Consider the following 15,950-nt stretch of genomic DNA (forward strand, 5'->3'; position numbering starts at 1 on the left):
AAGCCAGCTGGAACCTGCCAGAACTCTTGTCCCCACCCCAACCTGCCAGGACTTAGGCACAGCCTGTCCATGCCACCAGGCCCAGCAGGGCACCAGGAGCAGCGCAGAACGGATTCTGCTTTCCCTGTGGCCAGTTTCTCTTTTTCAGCTCCTTCATGCATTCTTCACAAACGCGTGAAGCACCAGTTGTGTGCAAGGCACCTGATGCTCAAGACAAGGAAGCACAGCAATGCCAAGGAAAATACGGGACATTGGGTGCAGCCTGCGAGACCTGGGACAGGATGGGGCCTGTGTCCTGCAGAGCTCTTGGACTGCTGGGGCCTCCAAGGAAAAAAACTAGTTGCTTAAGAGGCAGAGTGCCCTCATCATTGGGTGCTAGCAGAGTCTAGCACCTTCCATAGTTCCATGGCCTGGGTGCTGACTGGCCTTTTCAGCCCCACAGCTTGAATATGCAACAGACACCAGCACTGCCCCATTGCACGGAGGAGAAAATCGAGGTCTGTACAGCCAGGTCTACCTGGCCAGGAGCTTGGCTATGCATCAGACTCCACCCCAGGGAGGGGTGGAGAGGGCCAGGACCAGATGTAGCCTTCTGGAGCCCCTGCCCTTCCCCAGGCCTGACAAGGGGGACAAGAACACCCCTCCTCCCCAGGGCACGGGGCACACTGCCAGCCTCTTTGCTCCTCCCCTGCCTGCTCTGACCTCGGACTCTCTGGCTGGATCCCTTGAGGACCGACACACCTCTGTGACCCTCAGCTCCTGCTGTACCCACCTCTGGACGACTCATCCTGAAAAATGTCCGTGAGTCCCCTGAATCTCGCTTCCACCAGGATCTCCGTCTCCCAGCAGAACCTTGCCTGCCGGGGGCGTCTTCCTGCAGCCACAAGTGTTGGGAGTTAGGCACCTGCCCCAGCTCAGGGACAGGGAGGGGCACAGGTAGGCTGGTGCCAGACCAGGAGCCCTCCCTTCAGAGGGGCCCAGAACTTCCAACACACAGCTGTGTGCAGAGGCAGCCGAGTTCCTCCAGGCACATCCACAGAGAAAAGGCAACTCTCGGCCTTCCTGCTTCCCGACAGGGCCCAGCCTACAGCCCACAGCACCCACCCTACAGCCCACAGCGCCCATAGGGAAGCCCCACAGCAACTGGAGTTTTGTATGGAGGGAGATAAGAAATTCAAATTGTACAAAAATGAATCCTTTCATAGACATGCCTCCTCTGATCCCTTCCCCGAGTCCTTGTCTCCAGAGGTAGCCATGGGGCCCTGTCCCCAAAGACAGCATGAGTGTGTTACACAGGTGCAGGGATGCACACACCCTGTGCCCCTGAAACACAAACACAGTAACATGAGGCCTGTCCCCATCAGCCCATACGCATGCTCACAAGAGCTGCAGGGCACCTCCATCCCACTGTGCCCTGGCCGGCCACAGGGAGGGACCCAAGGGCACAGAGGAGTCTGAGAGGACATCTGAGTGGGCACTGCCCAGTGGGCAGCGGGGCAGGGCAGCAAGGTTGAACAGACATGCGTGAGTTGCCCACACAGGGCGATGCAGGAGGAGACCTGGGTGCCTGTGGGGCTCTGCCCAGCAGGCTCACCTGGAGTCCAAAGTCGGCAGCCTCAGTCGTGTATTCGTAGACAGGTGAAGACCCCTGCGGCCGTGGTCGAATGCCCTCATCCGCAGGCCCTTCAGTCACCTGACGGGAGAGAATCCAGTTATTTTTGCCACTCGGTTCTCCCAGGGCCCAGGGAGAATGGGGGCAGGGTATGAGGAGGACACACTTCCTCCTGCTCTCACTTACAGAGTGGTCATCTTCCGTTTCTGCACCTGGCTCCCCGGGCTGCAGCTGACGGCCGGACACTGCAGAGAGAGTGGCTGTCAGTGGAGACAAGCAGGCTGGGGGAGCAGATCGGGGCCCGGGGGAGGGAGCCAGGACTGTATGTACACTGTGGAGGTGTCATAGTCCTTTCCTGGACACTGGATCGGAGAGCAAACTCAGGGGCTGGGGGAAGATCTATAGCCAATGGGCTGGAGAGGCTGAGGCATCACGTCAGGTAGCAGTGAATTGAGACTGGACTTATTCCAAGTTGGAACAGATTTAGTCCAAGAAAGTGACTAAACAAACACAAGGCGTTTGTTATTGTATAACCACACCCTGGGAGGATCAGAATCCAGAGCTGCCAGAATATATTATCTAAAATGTCCAGCAGCCACCAAAAAATTACAAGTTACGCGAAGAAACAAGAATGTATGGTCCATACTGAGAAACAAAGCAGTGAATGGAAAGTGTCTCTAAATGTCTACTAATGCTGGGTTTAATACAGACTTCAAAGAAACTATTAAAAGTTTGTTCAGGCCGGGCACGGTGGCTCATGCCTGTAATCCCAGGACTTTGGGAGGCTGAGGCGGGTGGATCACCTGAGGTTGGGAGTTCGAGACCAGCCTCACCAACATGGAGAAACCCCATCTCTACTAAAAATACAAAATTAGCCAGGCATGGTGGCACATGCCTGTAATCCCAGCTACTCAGGAGGCTGAGGTAGGAGAATCACTTGAACCTGGGAGGCGGAGGTTGTGGTGAGCCGAGATTGTGCCATTGTACTCCAGCCTGGGCAACAAGAGTGAAACTCCGTCTCAAAAAGAAAAAAAAAAGTTTGTTCAAAACACAAAAACAAATCATGTTTAAAAAATTAATGGAAAATATGTTAACAATGGCTCAATGAAGAGAGAATCTCATAAAGAAATAAAACTTATTTTTTAAAAGCAAGCAAAAATTCTGGAGTTGAAAATTTACTACTGGGGTTCACCAACAGATTTGAGATACCAGAAGAATTATCAACTTGTAGATTAATATAAATTAACCAATTTGAAGAACGGGGTCAGGGGGAAGATTGTTTGAAGAAAAACAGAGTCTCAGAGCATTAACCATAAGATAAAGAGGCAGAAGAGAGAGTTGAAGAAGTGATAGCTGAAAACAATCTGCAGAATCCAAGAAGCGCGACCAGACCTAAGCAGGAGAAACACAGAGATCCACACCTAGAAACGTCACAGTCAAAATGCTTAAGAGAAAGGGCCCCATCACATAATAAGGGCACAAAAATACAACTAACACCTGAATCACATCAAAACCATAGAAGCTACGAGAAAGTGGAACAATATATTCAAAGGGCTGAAAGAAACTGTTGTCAACGAAGAATTTGATATCAAGCAACCTATCCTTCCAAAAATAAAGGCAAAATAGTCTGGGCATGCTGGCTTATGCCTGTAATCCCAGCACTTTGGGAGGCTGAAGTGCGAGGATTGCTTGAGCCCAGAAACTCAAGGCCAGCCTGAGCAATATAGTAAGATCTCATCTCTACAAAAAAAAATTTTTTTTTTGAGACGGAGTCTCACTCTGTCACCCAGGATGAAGTGCAGTGGCACGATCTTGGTTCACTGCAACCTCCGCCTCCCAGGTTCAAGTGATTCTTCTGCCTCAGCCTCCCGAGTAGCTGGGACTACAGACACGCGCTACCATGCCCAGCTAATTTTCGTACGTTTAGGAGAGACGGGTTTCACCATGTCGGCCAGGCTGGTCTTGAACTCTTGACCTCGTGATCCGCCTGCCTCAGCCTCCCAAAGTGCTGGGATTACAGGCATGAGCTGCCGTGTCCGGCCCAAAAATTTTTTTAAAAATTAGCGGGGCATGGTGGTGCATGCCTATAGTCCCAGCTGCTCAGGAGGCTGAGGCGGGAGGATAGCTTAAGCCTGAGAGGTTGAGGCTGCAGTGAGCTGTGATTGCACCACTTCACTCTAGTCAGGCAGAGCAAGACTCTGTCTCAAAAAAATAAAAATTTAAATTTTAAAAAAAGGAAAAATAAAGGCATTCCCAAATGAACAAAGACTTGGAAATGTCATTGCTAGCAAATCTGCCTTACAAGATATACTAAAGAAGTCCTTCGGACTGAAAGGAACTAATACCAGACACTAAGTCAAATGCACAGGAAGAAATGGAGAATGCAGAAAATGGTAACTATGCAGGCAAATATAAAAGACTCTATGAATATATATTGTCCTCATTTTATTTCTTAACTTCTTTCAAAAACAGAGGATTGTATAAAGCAAGGATTGACAAACTTTTCTTGAAAAAGGCAATATAGTGGATATTTTAAGCTTACCAGGCCACATGATCTCTGTTGCAACTCTGCAGCCATAGTACAAAAGCAGCTATAGATTATAGATAATATGTAAATAAATGAGCAAAACTGTTTCAACAAAACTTTACTTGTAAAACAAAAAGGAGGCTGGATTTAGAAGACAGACAATCATCTGTGAACCACTTATATAAGGCAACAATTCTAACACCATATTGTTAGGATTATAACATATATAGATACAGTATATACGTGACAATAATAGCAAAAAGGAGTAGGAGGAGAGGGTATACAGTCAGCCTCTCATATCAGTGGTTTCTGTATCCTGAGTTCAATGAAACTTGGGTCAAAAATGTTCTCCCAAAAATTGCACCTGTACTGAACACGTGTAGACTTTTTTTCTTGTCATTATTCCCTAAACAATATAGTATACCAGCTATTTACATAGCATTTACATTGCATTAGGTATTATAAGTAATCTAGAGATGATTTAAAGTATAGGGGAGGGAAGATGTATGTAGGTTATTTGCAAATACTACATTGCTTTATAGAAGGGACTTGAGCATCCATGAATTTTGGTATCTGAGGGAGGTCCTAGAAGCAATCCCTCATGGATGCTGAGGCACAAGTGTACCCTGGACCAAAGTTTCTATAATTTACCAGAATTAAGCTGGCATTGCCTGGGGCTGGGAGTGGGAAGGGAGATTGATTGTAAATGGGGTTGAGAAAATTTGGAAGGTGATGGAGGTCTTCCAGAACTGGATTGTGGTAATGTTTGCACAACTCTATAAGGTTAGTAAAATGATTGAATTGTACATTTACAATGGGTGAGTTCTATGGTTTATAAACTGTACCTCAATGAAACTGTAAAAGAAAAAGGTAATTAACTGTATAAAACAAAAATAAGTCAGCACGGTGGCTCACACCTGTAATCCCAGCACTTTGGGAGGCCAAGGAGGGCAGATCACTTGAGGCCAGGAGTTTGAGACCAGCCTGGCCAACATGGTGAAACCCCTCTCTACTAAAAATACAAACATTAGCTGGGCAGGGTGGTGCACGTCTGTAATCCCAGCTACTCAAGAAGCAGAGGCAGGAGAATCACTTGAACCCAGGAGGTGGAGGTTGCAGTGAGCTGAGATTGTTCCACTGCACTCCAGCCTTGGTAACAGACCAAGACTCTGTCTCCAAAAAAAAAAACAAATAAAATAAAATGTATCTTAGAATTTTACAAATATAGAAGTAAAGCATATGACAGGATGGGGATGGAGTGCAAAAGTTGCTGTTGTGGGCCGGGCACGGTGGCTCACGCCTGTAATCCCAGCACTTTGGGAGGCCGAGGCGGGCGGATCACGAGGTCAGGAGATCAAAACCATCCTGGCTAACACAGTGAAACCCCGTCTCTACTAAAAATACAAAAAAATAGCCGGGCGAGGTGGCGGGCGCCTGTAGTCCCAGCTACTCGGGAGGCTGAGGCAGGAGAATGGCGTGAACCCCGGGGGGCGGAGCCTGCAGTGAGCCGAGATCGCGTCACTGCACTCCAGCCTGGGTGACAGCGAGACCCCATCTTAAAAAAAAAAAAAAAGTTGCTGTTGTGAAGATCTTACATTATACTTAAAGTAGGACAATCTTACTTGAAATTATACTGTAATAAGTTAAATATTCAGGGTATAAAGCATAATGCAACCATTAAAAAAATAAAAAGATGTATAGGTAATAAGCCAATAGTGGAACCAAAATGGAATGCTAGGCTGGGCACAGTGGCTTGTGCCGTAATCCCAGCACTTTAGGAGACCGAGGCAGGAGGAACACTTGAGGCCAGGAGTTTGAGACTAGCCTGGGCAACACAGTGAGACCTCATCTTTAGAAAATATTTAAAAATTAGCCATGCATGGTGGCGCACATCTGTATTCCCAGCTACTCGGGAGGCTGAGGTGGGAGGATCACTTGAGCCCAGGAGGTTAAAGCTGCAGTGAGCCAAGCTCATGCCACTGCACTCCAGCCGGGGCAGCAAAGCAAGACCCTGTCTCAAAAAACAAACAAACCAAAAAACACCTAGATCTCCTTTTTGAAACACTGCAGTAAAAACTGGCAAAACTGAAAGGAGAAATAAATCCACAATTATTATACAATAGGAGATTCTAACACTCTTAGGAAATGATAACCTTACAAAGTAGAATAGGGGAAGATACAAAACACTTGAAGTACCCATCAACCAACGAGACCAAACTGGCACTGGGAGAACACTCCTGACAGCAGCCGGTGCATGCTGCTCTCAGGTGCACAGGGGACAGTCACTGAGACAGGCCCCATGCTGGCTCAGAAACCTGTCTTGACGAATTTAAAATAACTTCAGTCATCCGAGTTCTCTTCTCTGACCCCCAGTGGAATCAAGACAGTGCGGCAGAAACACAAATCAGTGAACAGAAAACAAAGTCCAGAACAGCCCCACACTTACATGGCCAATTCATTCTTGTTTGTTGGTTGGTTGGTTTTGTTTTGAGACAGGGTCTCACTCTGTCGCTCAGGCTGGAATGCAGTGGCACAATCTCAGCTCACAGCAACTTCTGCCTCCTGGGTTCAAGCGTTTCTGGTGCCTCATCCTCCCAAGTAGCTGGGATTACAGGCATGCGCCATCATGCCTCACTAATTTTTTTTTTTTTTGGTACTTTTAGTAGAGATGGGGTTTCACCATGTTGCCCAGGCTGGTCTTGAACTCCTGGCCTCAAGTGATCCACCTGCCTTGGCCTCCCAAAGTACAGGCGTGAGCCACCATGCCCGGCCAAATTCTTGTCAAAGCAGCCCAGTTATTCCAACAGAAAGCAAAGTCTTTTCACCGAATGGTCCTGGAACAGCTGGGTATTTACTGGGAAACCAATAAACCTGGACCCTTCCATCCCATCACTCATGAAAATGAATTTGAAATGAATCATAGAGGGGAATGTAAAACCAAAAACTATAAAACTTCTAGAAGAAAATATAGGAGAACTTCTTTAACACCTCGAGGGCAGCAAAGTTTTCTTAGGATACAGAAGGTAAGGATCATAGAACGAAAACTGATAAATTTAAGTTCTCATAATTTAAAACACTGGCCTTAAGAGCTTTCATTTTCCTCAGAAAACGAAAAGGCAGTGAATGTATCTGGCAAAGGACTTGCATGGAGCCTGTGTACAACTCAACGGAAGAGAAAAAGCTCAGCTAAAAATAGGCAGCAGATTTGAACAGACATTTCACAAAAGAAGATGTACGAGTGTTCAATAAGTACAAGGAAAGATGCTCAACATTTTCAGTCATCAGGAAAATGCAAATCAAGACCAATGGAACAGAACAGAGATCCCAGAAACAGACACACGTACACAAAGCTGTGATGATCTGTTCAACACATGGCCTGGGATCCATGGGATATCCATATGGAAAAACATTAATCTTCGCCCCACCTCAGCCAGAGAAAATTAATTTCATGTGGATTACAGATCCAAAATTAAAGGCTTAACAATAAAATTTCTAGAAAATAAATAGAAATTACTTTTGGAGTAGGGGAAAAATTCTTAAACAGAACACACAAAAAATGACAGATATTGGTCTATATTAAAATTAAGAGCTTCTGGCCAGGCGCGGTGGCTCACGCCTGTAATCCCAACACTTTGGGAGGCCGAGGCGGGCGGATCACGAGGTCAGGAGATCGAGACCATCCTGGCTAACACGGTGAAACCCTGTCTCTTCTAAAAATACAAAAAATTAGCCGGGTGTGGTGGCGGGTGCCTGTAGTCCCAGCTACTCGGGAGGCTGAGGCAGGAGAATGGCGTGAACCCGGGAGGCGGAGCTTGCAGTGAGCTGAGATTGCGCCACTGCACTCCAGCCTGGGCCACACAGCGAGACTCCGTCTAAAAAAAAAAAAGAAAAAAAAAAGAGAGAGAGAGAAAAGAATTAAGAGCTTCTGTTCATCAAAAAACACCACTAAGGGCATGAAATGTAAATTAGTATAGCCATGATAGAAAACACTATGGATGGTTCCTCAAAAAATTAAAAATAGAACTACCATTTGATCCAGCAGTCCCACTACTGGGTATATATCCAAAGGAAATGAAATCGATAAATTGCAGCTATCTTTGCCCAAAACACAGATTGGGCAAAGATACCTGCAATACATTTACCAAGCAAAGGCCTCCAACCCAGAATGCACAAAGAATTCTTGCAAACCAAAAGACAAACAACCCGATAGAAATATGGGCAAGAAAACACTGGAAAGGTAGCTCATAGAAGAGGATATTCAACCAGCCGATTAGTATATGGAAAGATGGCCAGCATTTCTAGTCATCTGGGCAATGCTAACAAAACCACGAGGTGCCATATGCTCCCAGGAGAATGGCTGAAATGGAAAAGTCGAGGCAGACCACCTGGAGACAAGGCCTAGGGCAGCTGGAACTCCATCCTGGTGTGGGTTGGGGGTCAGCTGGCGCAACCACTTGGAAACAGCCTGGTAGAGCCTTACCCTGTGGCCCAGCAACTCATAGCCAGGGGCAGAGCCAAGAAATATGCGCACATATGTCCCTCAAAAGATGGATGCAGGAACATCCATCTCAGTATAATCTGCAGCACCCAGAAACCAGAGATTCAAATGTCCATCAACAGTAGAATAAAAAAAAATGCGAGGTATTTGTCCAATGGAACAGTATATGGTATAAACTATGCCTATGTGCAACGTGGATGAAGTTCACAAACACAAGGTTGAGACACAGAAGCTAGATATAAAAAGCGCTCGTACCGGGGGAGCCCGTCACATCCAGCTCACAGTCAGGCTCAGGCCACCTAGGGCTGAAGTCACCAGGGGGAGCAGGCAGACAGGGTCTCCTGGAGAGGACTAATTACTTGGGTGTGCCATGGTTTGTACCCTTTCTCCATAAAAAATTTTAGAATTCTATATAAAATCAAACACAATTATAAACTTTACACTAATAAATCTGAAAATTTCGATTGATTGGATATATTCCTAGAAAACCCACAAGAAGAACCAAACTTGTCCAACCCACGGCCCACAGGCCGCATGTGGCCCAGAACAGCTTTGAATACGGCTTAACACAAATTCATAAACTTCCTAAAACTTTATTACACTCTTTTGCAATTGTTTCTTTTAGCTCATCAGCTATCATTAGTGTAGTTTATGTGTGACCCAAGACAATTCTTCTTCTTCCAATGTAGCCCAGGGAAGCCAAAAGATAGGACGGACGCCCCGATGGATAATCCAAGTATTTTTGTAACGATTTAAAAATCAACATGGTGAAACCCCATCTCTACTAAAAATACAAAAATTAGCTGGGCATGGTGGCAGGCGCCTGTAATCCCAGCTACTAGGAAGACTGAGGCAGGAGAATCACTTGAACCCAGAAGGCAGAGGTTGCAGTGAGCCAAGATCATGCCATTGCACTCCAGCCTCAGCAACAAAAGCAAAACTCTGTCTCAAAAAAAAAAAAAAAAAAAAGAAAAGAAAAGAAAAGAAAAAATCAAATCCCTTATTTAAAACCGTCCCACAAAAAGGACTCCAGTCTCAACCCCACTCTGAATTATACTCTAAATATTCCAAGAAGAAACAGTACCAATCTTACGCCAACTCTGGCGCCCTGGCCTGGGCTCCAGGGCCTCCCTCCTGCAGTGACAAGGAGGGTCTCAGAACTAAGGCCCCCATCCCTGCCCCAGACCCAGTTGCTGGTAGGACACTGATTGGGAAGGAGCATGTCCCTATCCTTTGGGGTGGTGTGCTGGCCTCGGGGACCAGCTGCTCCCTGTCCCCTGCGGTAGGTGTCCTGGCCTTGGGGACTGTCCCACGAAGACAGATGGGGAGGCCCAGTCCCGGCAGTGGTCTAGGTCTGGCTGCTCCTCTGGCCAGTGTGCTGTGTGGCCCTGAGCAAGCTCATCCCCTCTCTGAGCTTTCATTCCCTCATGGATATGTGGACCACCCTGCCTGCCCTGACTGTGGGTTGCTGGGCTACAGACACTGCTCCCGCAGAGGCACCCCCAGGGCCATGCCTGCTCATCCCAAGAGCACCTCTGCCTGCGCGGGCCCCTGCCACTCCCTCACCGCTTCACGGGCCTTTCCTTGCCCTTCTGCAAGATGGCTCACAGCCCAGGTCCCCTCTGGCTCTGCTCTCAGGCCTGGCAGGGCTGGAGGATGGTGTCTCCTGGAGGAGGTTCTCTCAAGCGAAGGAAGAGAAGGGCAGGAGGTGAGGGCAGGCAGGGCTGGGTCAGTGCCAGGAGGCATCAACACTCACCCCCACGTCATCCCGGCCCCGCCACCTTCCTACTGCTCCGGGGGCCAGGCCCAGACCCCTGGCCTCCATAACCCCCCAGCAGAGCCACAACCTCCGTTTCCCCCACCTGCCAAACCAGCCTTGCCCACGGTGTCAGCCCAAGAATTGTACCCCTGGCAACCCCACAACACGATCTCCTCCACAGGCCCCTTCTCCCTAACCAGGCAGTGAAGGGGCAAGACCCTGTCTCCCTTCTGCACAGCTCTGTCCTGGCCACCTGGGCCCATCTCACTCACCTTTGCATTCAGACACTGCCCCACCACCTGACAGGGCCCCTGCTGCTCCCACCTGGACGCACCCCCAACCTGCACAGACAGAACTTGGCCAGCCCCACCGCTCTGCCTCCCAGATGGCTGCCAAACCCTCCACTCCTTGCCCACCTGCCCCCTCCCACTCCCTCCACGTGGCCCTGCCAGGGCTCCCCAGTGCACCCCACAACCCTGAGGGACCACCAGCTGGGGCCACCCCAGCCCCTCTGGAGCTGCCTGGAGCTCCAGCCACACCAGACCCACAACAAATTCGTGGGACGGGGTGGTGCCAAGGAAAGGGACAGGAATCTGGCCAGAGCCTGCCCACCGCTAAGCCAAGGGCAATGGCAGGTAAGCCACTCTCTGGCCTCAGTTTCCCTTCCTGCTCTGCCCAGACCCTGCCGCTCAATCCCCAAGGTGGGTAACATATGTGAAAACTGAGGCTGGGGGAGGGGAGCCACTTACCCAAGGGGACCCAGCCAGTAGGTGTGGAGCTGGGGCAACTACCTAGCAGGGCTGGGGGCAGAGGAGGGTCCCTGGGTCACTTGGCCCACAGCTGCTCCCCTGGCAGCAGGTGCAGCTGGGGTCATGAGTGGGGAGGGGCTCCACTGCCTCGGAGACCGGGTGTCCCAGGCCCTGCCTAGCACTCAGGGTGGGGCAGGTGTTCTGAGGCTGCCCAGAAACCCAGCCGCCTCCCCGTCCCTCCGCAGCCTCCCCAGCCAAAAAGCCCCACCCAGCTGGCAGGAGCCTGGATGGGTTGGGGGTGGGGGGCAGCTGCTGTGAGGCCCAAGAAAGGGTCAGGAGGGCAACTCCTCGGAGAAGGGACTCGCCAGGCAGGGAAACACAGGTCTGCTGGGCTGGGGGTGGGCACCACGGTCAAGGGCCCCTGAGCTGGGCACAGCCGGCTGCACTCCCAAATCTCTCCAGGGTAGTCTTGTGGGTGTTGGGGCCGGTGAGGGAGGGTGTCGACAGCAAGCCCTGGGCACACCCTGTGCTGGGAACCTGCATGGGGGAAGGAGGAGGAGACGTGACCAGCCCTGCTCCTGCTGGCCCTCGTGCCTGGTCCTGCCACTGGCCCACGCGGGACAGTCCCCAGCCCCACCCTCAGCCACCGCACTGGGAGCGGCTGTTCCTACACTGCCTGTAGTGGGGATGGAGTGCAGAGGCTCAGCGAGCGGCAGACCTGCCTCTGGCCACAGAGCTGCGCAGTGGGGACCCCTCCAGTCACTGGGCTGGCAGGAGCCTGGCCCAGGAACACAAACAGGAAGGGGGAAATCCTGCCCGCCTCGGGATAAGGCTGCGCAGCCAGGCTACCGGCCTCGGACCCGCGCCAGTCGGGAGAGAGAGGAAGGCCCCCAGTATCCCAGTCCCCCGCCAAGAGCACCGCCTCCCAGGCCCGAGCTCCTGAGGAAGCCCCGCCTCGGCCGCAGAGCGCAGGGGAGGCCGCCTTTGCCCGCCCGGCCTCCGGTTCTCCCAGACAGGCTCTGCAAGTGGCCCCATCACCTGAATCATGACACTGTTTGTTGACGGTCACCAAAGCCCCACTTCACAGAGGAGAATGTGGAGGTGACTCGCCTGAGCCAGGCCCAGCTGGTCAGGCCGTTGGCACCTGGTTCCTTCCCCAATGCCCTTCCCCCACTCCCCGGGCCCCCCAGCGCCCTGGCCTCAACACTACCATTAACATTCCTGCGGGTGAAAACTTGAACCTTGTGGAGGGACCCCGGGACCCAGGTCAGTCCCTTGCATGCCAGGGCAGGTGGGGGTGGTACCACAGTGAAAGCCGCAGAGGACACCCACCCTGGCCCAGAAAAGCTGCCTCCCCGAGAACTGGACTATCCTGGCGCAGGGCCTGAGCAGGCGGGGCCTCAGGCAGTGTGTCTGGGGGACGAGCAGATCCTGGCCGGGAGGCGGGGAGGGGCCGAGCGGGAGGGGAGAAGGAACACAGGCGGGGAGTGTGGCAGAGGCTCACCAACACCCCTGCTCCACAGCTGGGTCCAGATTGAGGACTCCCACCAGCCACCAGCTAAATGAGAGTTCTTGGAGGGTCCAGAACAGGTCCGTGGGGGGAGGAGGTGGATTTTGCTTAAACAAAATCCAAGTTTGCCTCTAAACTGGCAGCCCCAGGGCCCCATCTCTGGCCTCCAGGTGGGAGGGCATGGTTGGGTGCATTTGCAAGTCCCCAGGGCCCTGGGGGCTGGCAGGGAGGAGACTGGCTCTCCAGTGGCCGGAAAAGTCCATCCTGGGTGGGAGGAACGAATGGCCCACTCCAGGTTTGCAGGTGTGTGTGCACACGTGTGTGCTCACAGGATGTACGTGCTCAGGTGCTAGGGCGTGTGTGCACTTGTGTGTCTGGCCTGGGCTCCTCCCTCTGAACACCCATGGACAGCCCAGAGTGAGGCCATGGAGGCGGGAGCCCTGTGGGAGTCACTGCCCTCGGGCTGGAAACCTGGTGCCCACCCAGACACAGGCACACACAGCCGGCCGCACTTGGGCCTCACCCAGTCGTGGAACTTCATGAAGAAGGTGCCAAGCGGGCTGACTGTCATGAGACCTTCAGACTTCCCTGAGCAACATCCCCCGCCCCTCCCCGATGCTTCTTGAGATAACTCTCTCGGGATGAGCTCAGGCTCTTGCTCCTGCCTCTGTGTCTGCCTCCAAGGCTGCAGGAGGGCTGGGGAAGCCAGACTCAGTCCCCTAGACCTGGGAGCTGGGCTCCTTGCCCATCCAGCAGCCATTCCCCACTGCAGCCCAGCTGCACCCGTGAGGCTATTCACATCACCCTCTCCCGAAACAACCTTTCGTAGCTCCCTGGTGCCATCCATCGGTCAGACTGGCCTGGCAGCCTCTCCGTGCCTGCTCTAGCCCTAGCCGACATCCCCAGCCTCTCCAGCCCTCACTGTGCCTGCCTGGGCCACAGGCGCTCTCTCTCTGGGCTTTCCCAGGCTGTCTTCTCTGCTGGGCAAATTCACAGACTGAGCTTGGCCACCCTGCCATGGCTTCTGGACACTGCCGGCTCCCTGGTCCCCAGAACACTTTGCTCACCAAGCACTCAGAGCCTGGCACACAGTAGGTGCATAATAAATGCTAGTGCAGGCAGTGCATGGGAAAAAGGAAGGAGCTTGTCAGATCTCCTGGAAAAGCCTGGTAAGCCTGAGGGTGGGAGCCAGTTGATGGGGATGGGAGGGCAGCAGGTGGGCCCAGTTCATCTCCTTCTGCTCCTGGAGAAACTGAGGCACAGGGTAGCACATGTGCCACCTCTCCAAGGGATTTGGCAGCCAAAAGGAACAGCCCCATGCTCCCATCCATCCCAGGCGGGCTAGCCTGAGCCAGTTTCCCTGGGCTGAAAGGCCGGCCCCACAGACGTCCAGGGCAGTGTGACCCTGTGATGGAGCTACCCATCGCCCCAGGCCCCCACAGCCCACCTCGGGCACCCCCAGGAGAGTAAACCTGGCCTTTGGAAGCAACCACCCTCCACAGCCACCCAGGGCCCCTGTGCACCAAGCAAGCACACGGTCATCTGAGGACCCTTCTCCAGGCCCCACGCCCACCTTGGGGACTTGCAGACCTGCGGCTGCCCTGAATGTGGGTGCTCTTGGCATTCACCTCCCCCCACACCCAGGCTCCTTGGAAACAAGAGCCACTGTCCCCTACCTGCCCAGGGCCCACAGCTTGGTGTCCTGCCACACACCTTGTATGGCCTGGGCTCCGCCGGCACCCCAGGGACCAGGACCCAGGAGAAGGGGCTCCGGGGCTTTCTCCCTGACATCCCTGCCCAGCCCGCTGGCCCTGGCTGGAGCCACGGTGAACTAACACCCCTGCCCGTCTGTCAGCTGCAGGTCGGGGGATGCCTAGCCCAGCTCTGTTCCTCCAGCCCCCCTTGCTGGTGGCCTGCTGGCCCCCACAGACCCGCGGAAGAGTGAGGCAAGCAGGTGTCCGGACATGGACACAGGAGCCACTTACCAAGGAAGCTACAGACGCTCTCCCAACTGGCCCAGAAGCGAAGATCCCAACTGGCCACCTCCCCCTGCCACGCCCGGTTCTTCCCTCCACAGCTCCTCCCCCCATTGTCCCGCCTCTGCCTGCTCCTAGGGCTGGCTCTGGACCCTGCCAGGACCCCCACATCCCACCAGAGGGAGTGGGCGGGTCCCCTGATGGGCCAGGAGCCTGGCCAGCCCCCAACACTCACTCAGCTTCTTGGAGCTGGGGACCCCACCCTGAGTGCCCACCCCCAGCCTGAGCAGCTGACTGCAGAGGAACAGACCGCTCTGAGTCACACAGCCAGCCCAGTCTGGTGAGTGCCTTAGTGTGCGCCAGGTCCTGCTGTGTGGACAGACACAGGCCTGAGGCAGGTCCCTCCTAGGCAGGCTCTGCACAAACCCTGTGTCTCAGTTTCCCTATGGGGGCCAGGACAGAGGCTGGCCCAGAAGGGAGGAGAGGCATAGCCTAAGGGCCTGCCCCCATGGTCACTGGGCCAGTGACCTTGGGGCCTGGTCATCTGCCACCTGCCTGAGCCCCCAGGGCAGCCGACCCTGGCCTCCCTTCAGCCCGCTCAGCCCAAACTCACAGCGGCCACCACACCTCGAAGCACCAGGGTATCTGGTAAGCAGGGTGCGGTGGGGCTCAGGAAGCAGCATTTTTTGAAACAGGGTCTCTCTCTCACCCAGGTTGGAGTGCAGTGGTGCGATCATGGCTCACTGCAGCCTCAAACTCCTGGACTCAAACCATCCTCCCGTGTCAGCCTCTCAAGTGGCTGGGGCTCCAGGTGACGCCACCACACCTGGCTAATTTTAAAAATTTTTTGTAGAGATAGGATCCTACCATATTGTCCAGGCTGATCTCATACGCATGGGCTCAGGTGATCCTCCCGCCTTGGCCTCCCAAGTGGCTGGGGCTGCAGGCACACACCAGCACGCCTGGCTAATTTTTAAATTTTTTGTAGAGACAAGGTCTCCCTGTGTTGCCCTGGCTAGTCTCAAACTCCTAGGCTCAAGTGATCCTTCTGCCTCAGCCTCCCAAACTGCTGGGATTACAGGTGTGAGCCTCCGCACTGGCCTAGCTTTTTTTTTTAACAAGCCTCCCATCCTTCCCCGTCATTTCAATACAAGTGGTGGCTGAGAAACACCTGAGTCCCATGACCCCAAGTCCCCCACTATCCAGAGCTCCAGCTGCCTGGCCCACCTCCTGGTCACCTCACCCTGCTGCACCCTGGGCCCTTAGCCCCCACTCCTCTTTGCTCTGGGCAGCCAGGAGGCTCCAGCAGGACTCAACCA

At 52.9% G+C, this 15,950-nt stretch overlaps 1 protein-coding gene across 4 annotated transcripts in view, besides 4 other annotated features; it reads right to left on the reverse strand.

The window, feature by feature from the left end:
- AHNAK2 (AHNAK nucleoprotein 2) overlaps positions 1-15,950 on the reverse strand; it is a 41,122-nt gene that overhangs the window by 18,563 nt on the left and 6,609 nt on the right. Inside the window, exons 1-4 of one of the 4 annotated variants that reach the window (NM_001350929.2) lie at positions 14,641-14,692; positions 1,799-1,857; positions 1,595-1,693; positions 773-874 (exon numbers count right to left, since the gene is read on the reverse strand). In NM_001350929.2, coding sequence (NP_001337858.1) covers positions 773-787 — 15 coding nt within the window. In that variant the 5' untranslated portion in view covers positions 788-874; positions 1,595-1,693; positions 1,799-1,857; positions 14,641-14,692. Of the gene's footprint in view, positions 1-772; positions 875-1,594; positions 1,694-1,798; positions 1,858-10,203; positions 10,397-11,145; positions 14,693-15,950 lie in introns of those variants that run through there. The other 3 variants (XM_047430904.1, XM_024449463.2, NM_138420.4) reach the window with 3 other exon arrangements.
- Positions 1,213-1,382: an enhancer, noted in NCBI's record as "experimental_33767 CRE fragment used in MPRA reporter constructs". NCBI's record gives its function as "activates a minimal promoter by MPRAs in K562 erythroleukemia cells, with activity observed for both the introgressed and non-introgressed 14:105423450 or rs58365272 variant alleles {active_cell/tissue: K562}" and the evidence as "EXISTENCE:reporter gene assay evidence [ECO:0000049][PMID:34662402]".
- Position 1,298: a transcriptional cis regulatory region, noted in NCBI's record as "Neanderthal adaptively introgressed variant 14:105423450 (GRCh37/hg19 assembly coordinates) or rs58365272 in the experimental_33767 CRE". NCBI's record gives its function as "modulates activity of the experimental_33767 enhancer by MPRAs in K562 erythroleukemia cells {active_cell/tissue: K562}" and the evidence as "EXISTENCE:reporter gene assay evidence [ECO:0000049][PMID:34662402]".
- Positions 11,551-12,284: an enhancer, noted in NCBI's record as "H3K27ac-H3K4me1 hESC enhancer chr14:105433703-105434436 (GRCh37/hg19 assembly coordinates)". NCBI's record gives its function as "activates a minimal SCP1, AML or CMV promoter by ChIP-STARR-seq in naive H9 embryonic stem cells {active_cell/tissue: H9 hESC(naive)}" and the evidence as "EXISTENCE:reporter gene assay evidence [ECO:0000049][PMID:30033119]".
- Positions 13,020-13,753: an enhancer, noted in NCBI's record as "H3K4me1 hESC enhancer chr14:105435172-105435905 (GRCh37/hg19 assembly coordinates)". NCBI's record gives its function as "activates a minimal SCP1, AML or CMV promoter by ChIP-STARR-seq in naive H9 embryonic stem cells {active_cell/tissue: H9 hESC(naive)}" and the evidence as "EXISTENCE:reporter gene assay evidence [ECO:0000049][PMID:30033119]".

The sequence above is a fragment of the Homo sapiens genome, chromosome 14 (genome assembly GCF_000001405.40).
Source record: "Homo sapiens chromosome 14, GRCh38.p14 Primary Assembly".
Lineage (NCBI taxonomy): Eukaryota > Metazoa > Chordata > Mammalia > Primates > Hominidae > Homo > Homo sapiens.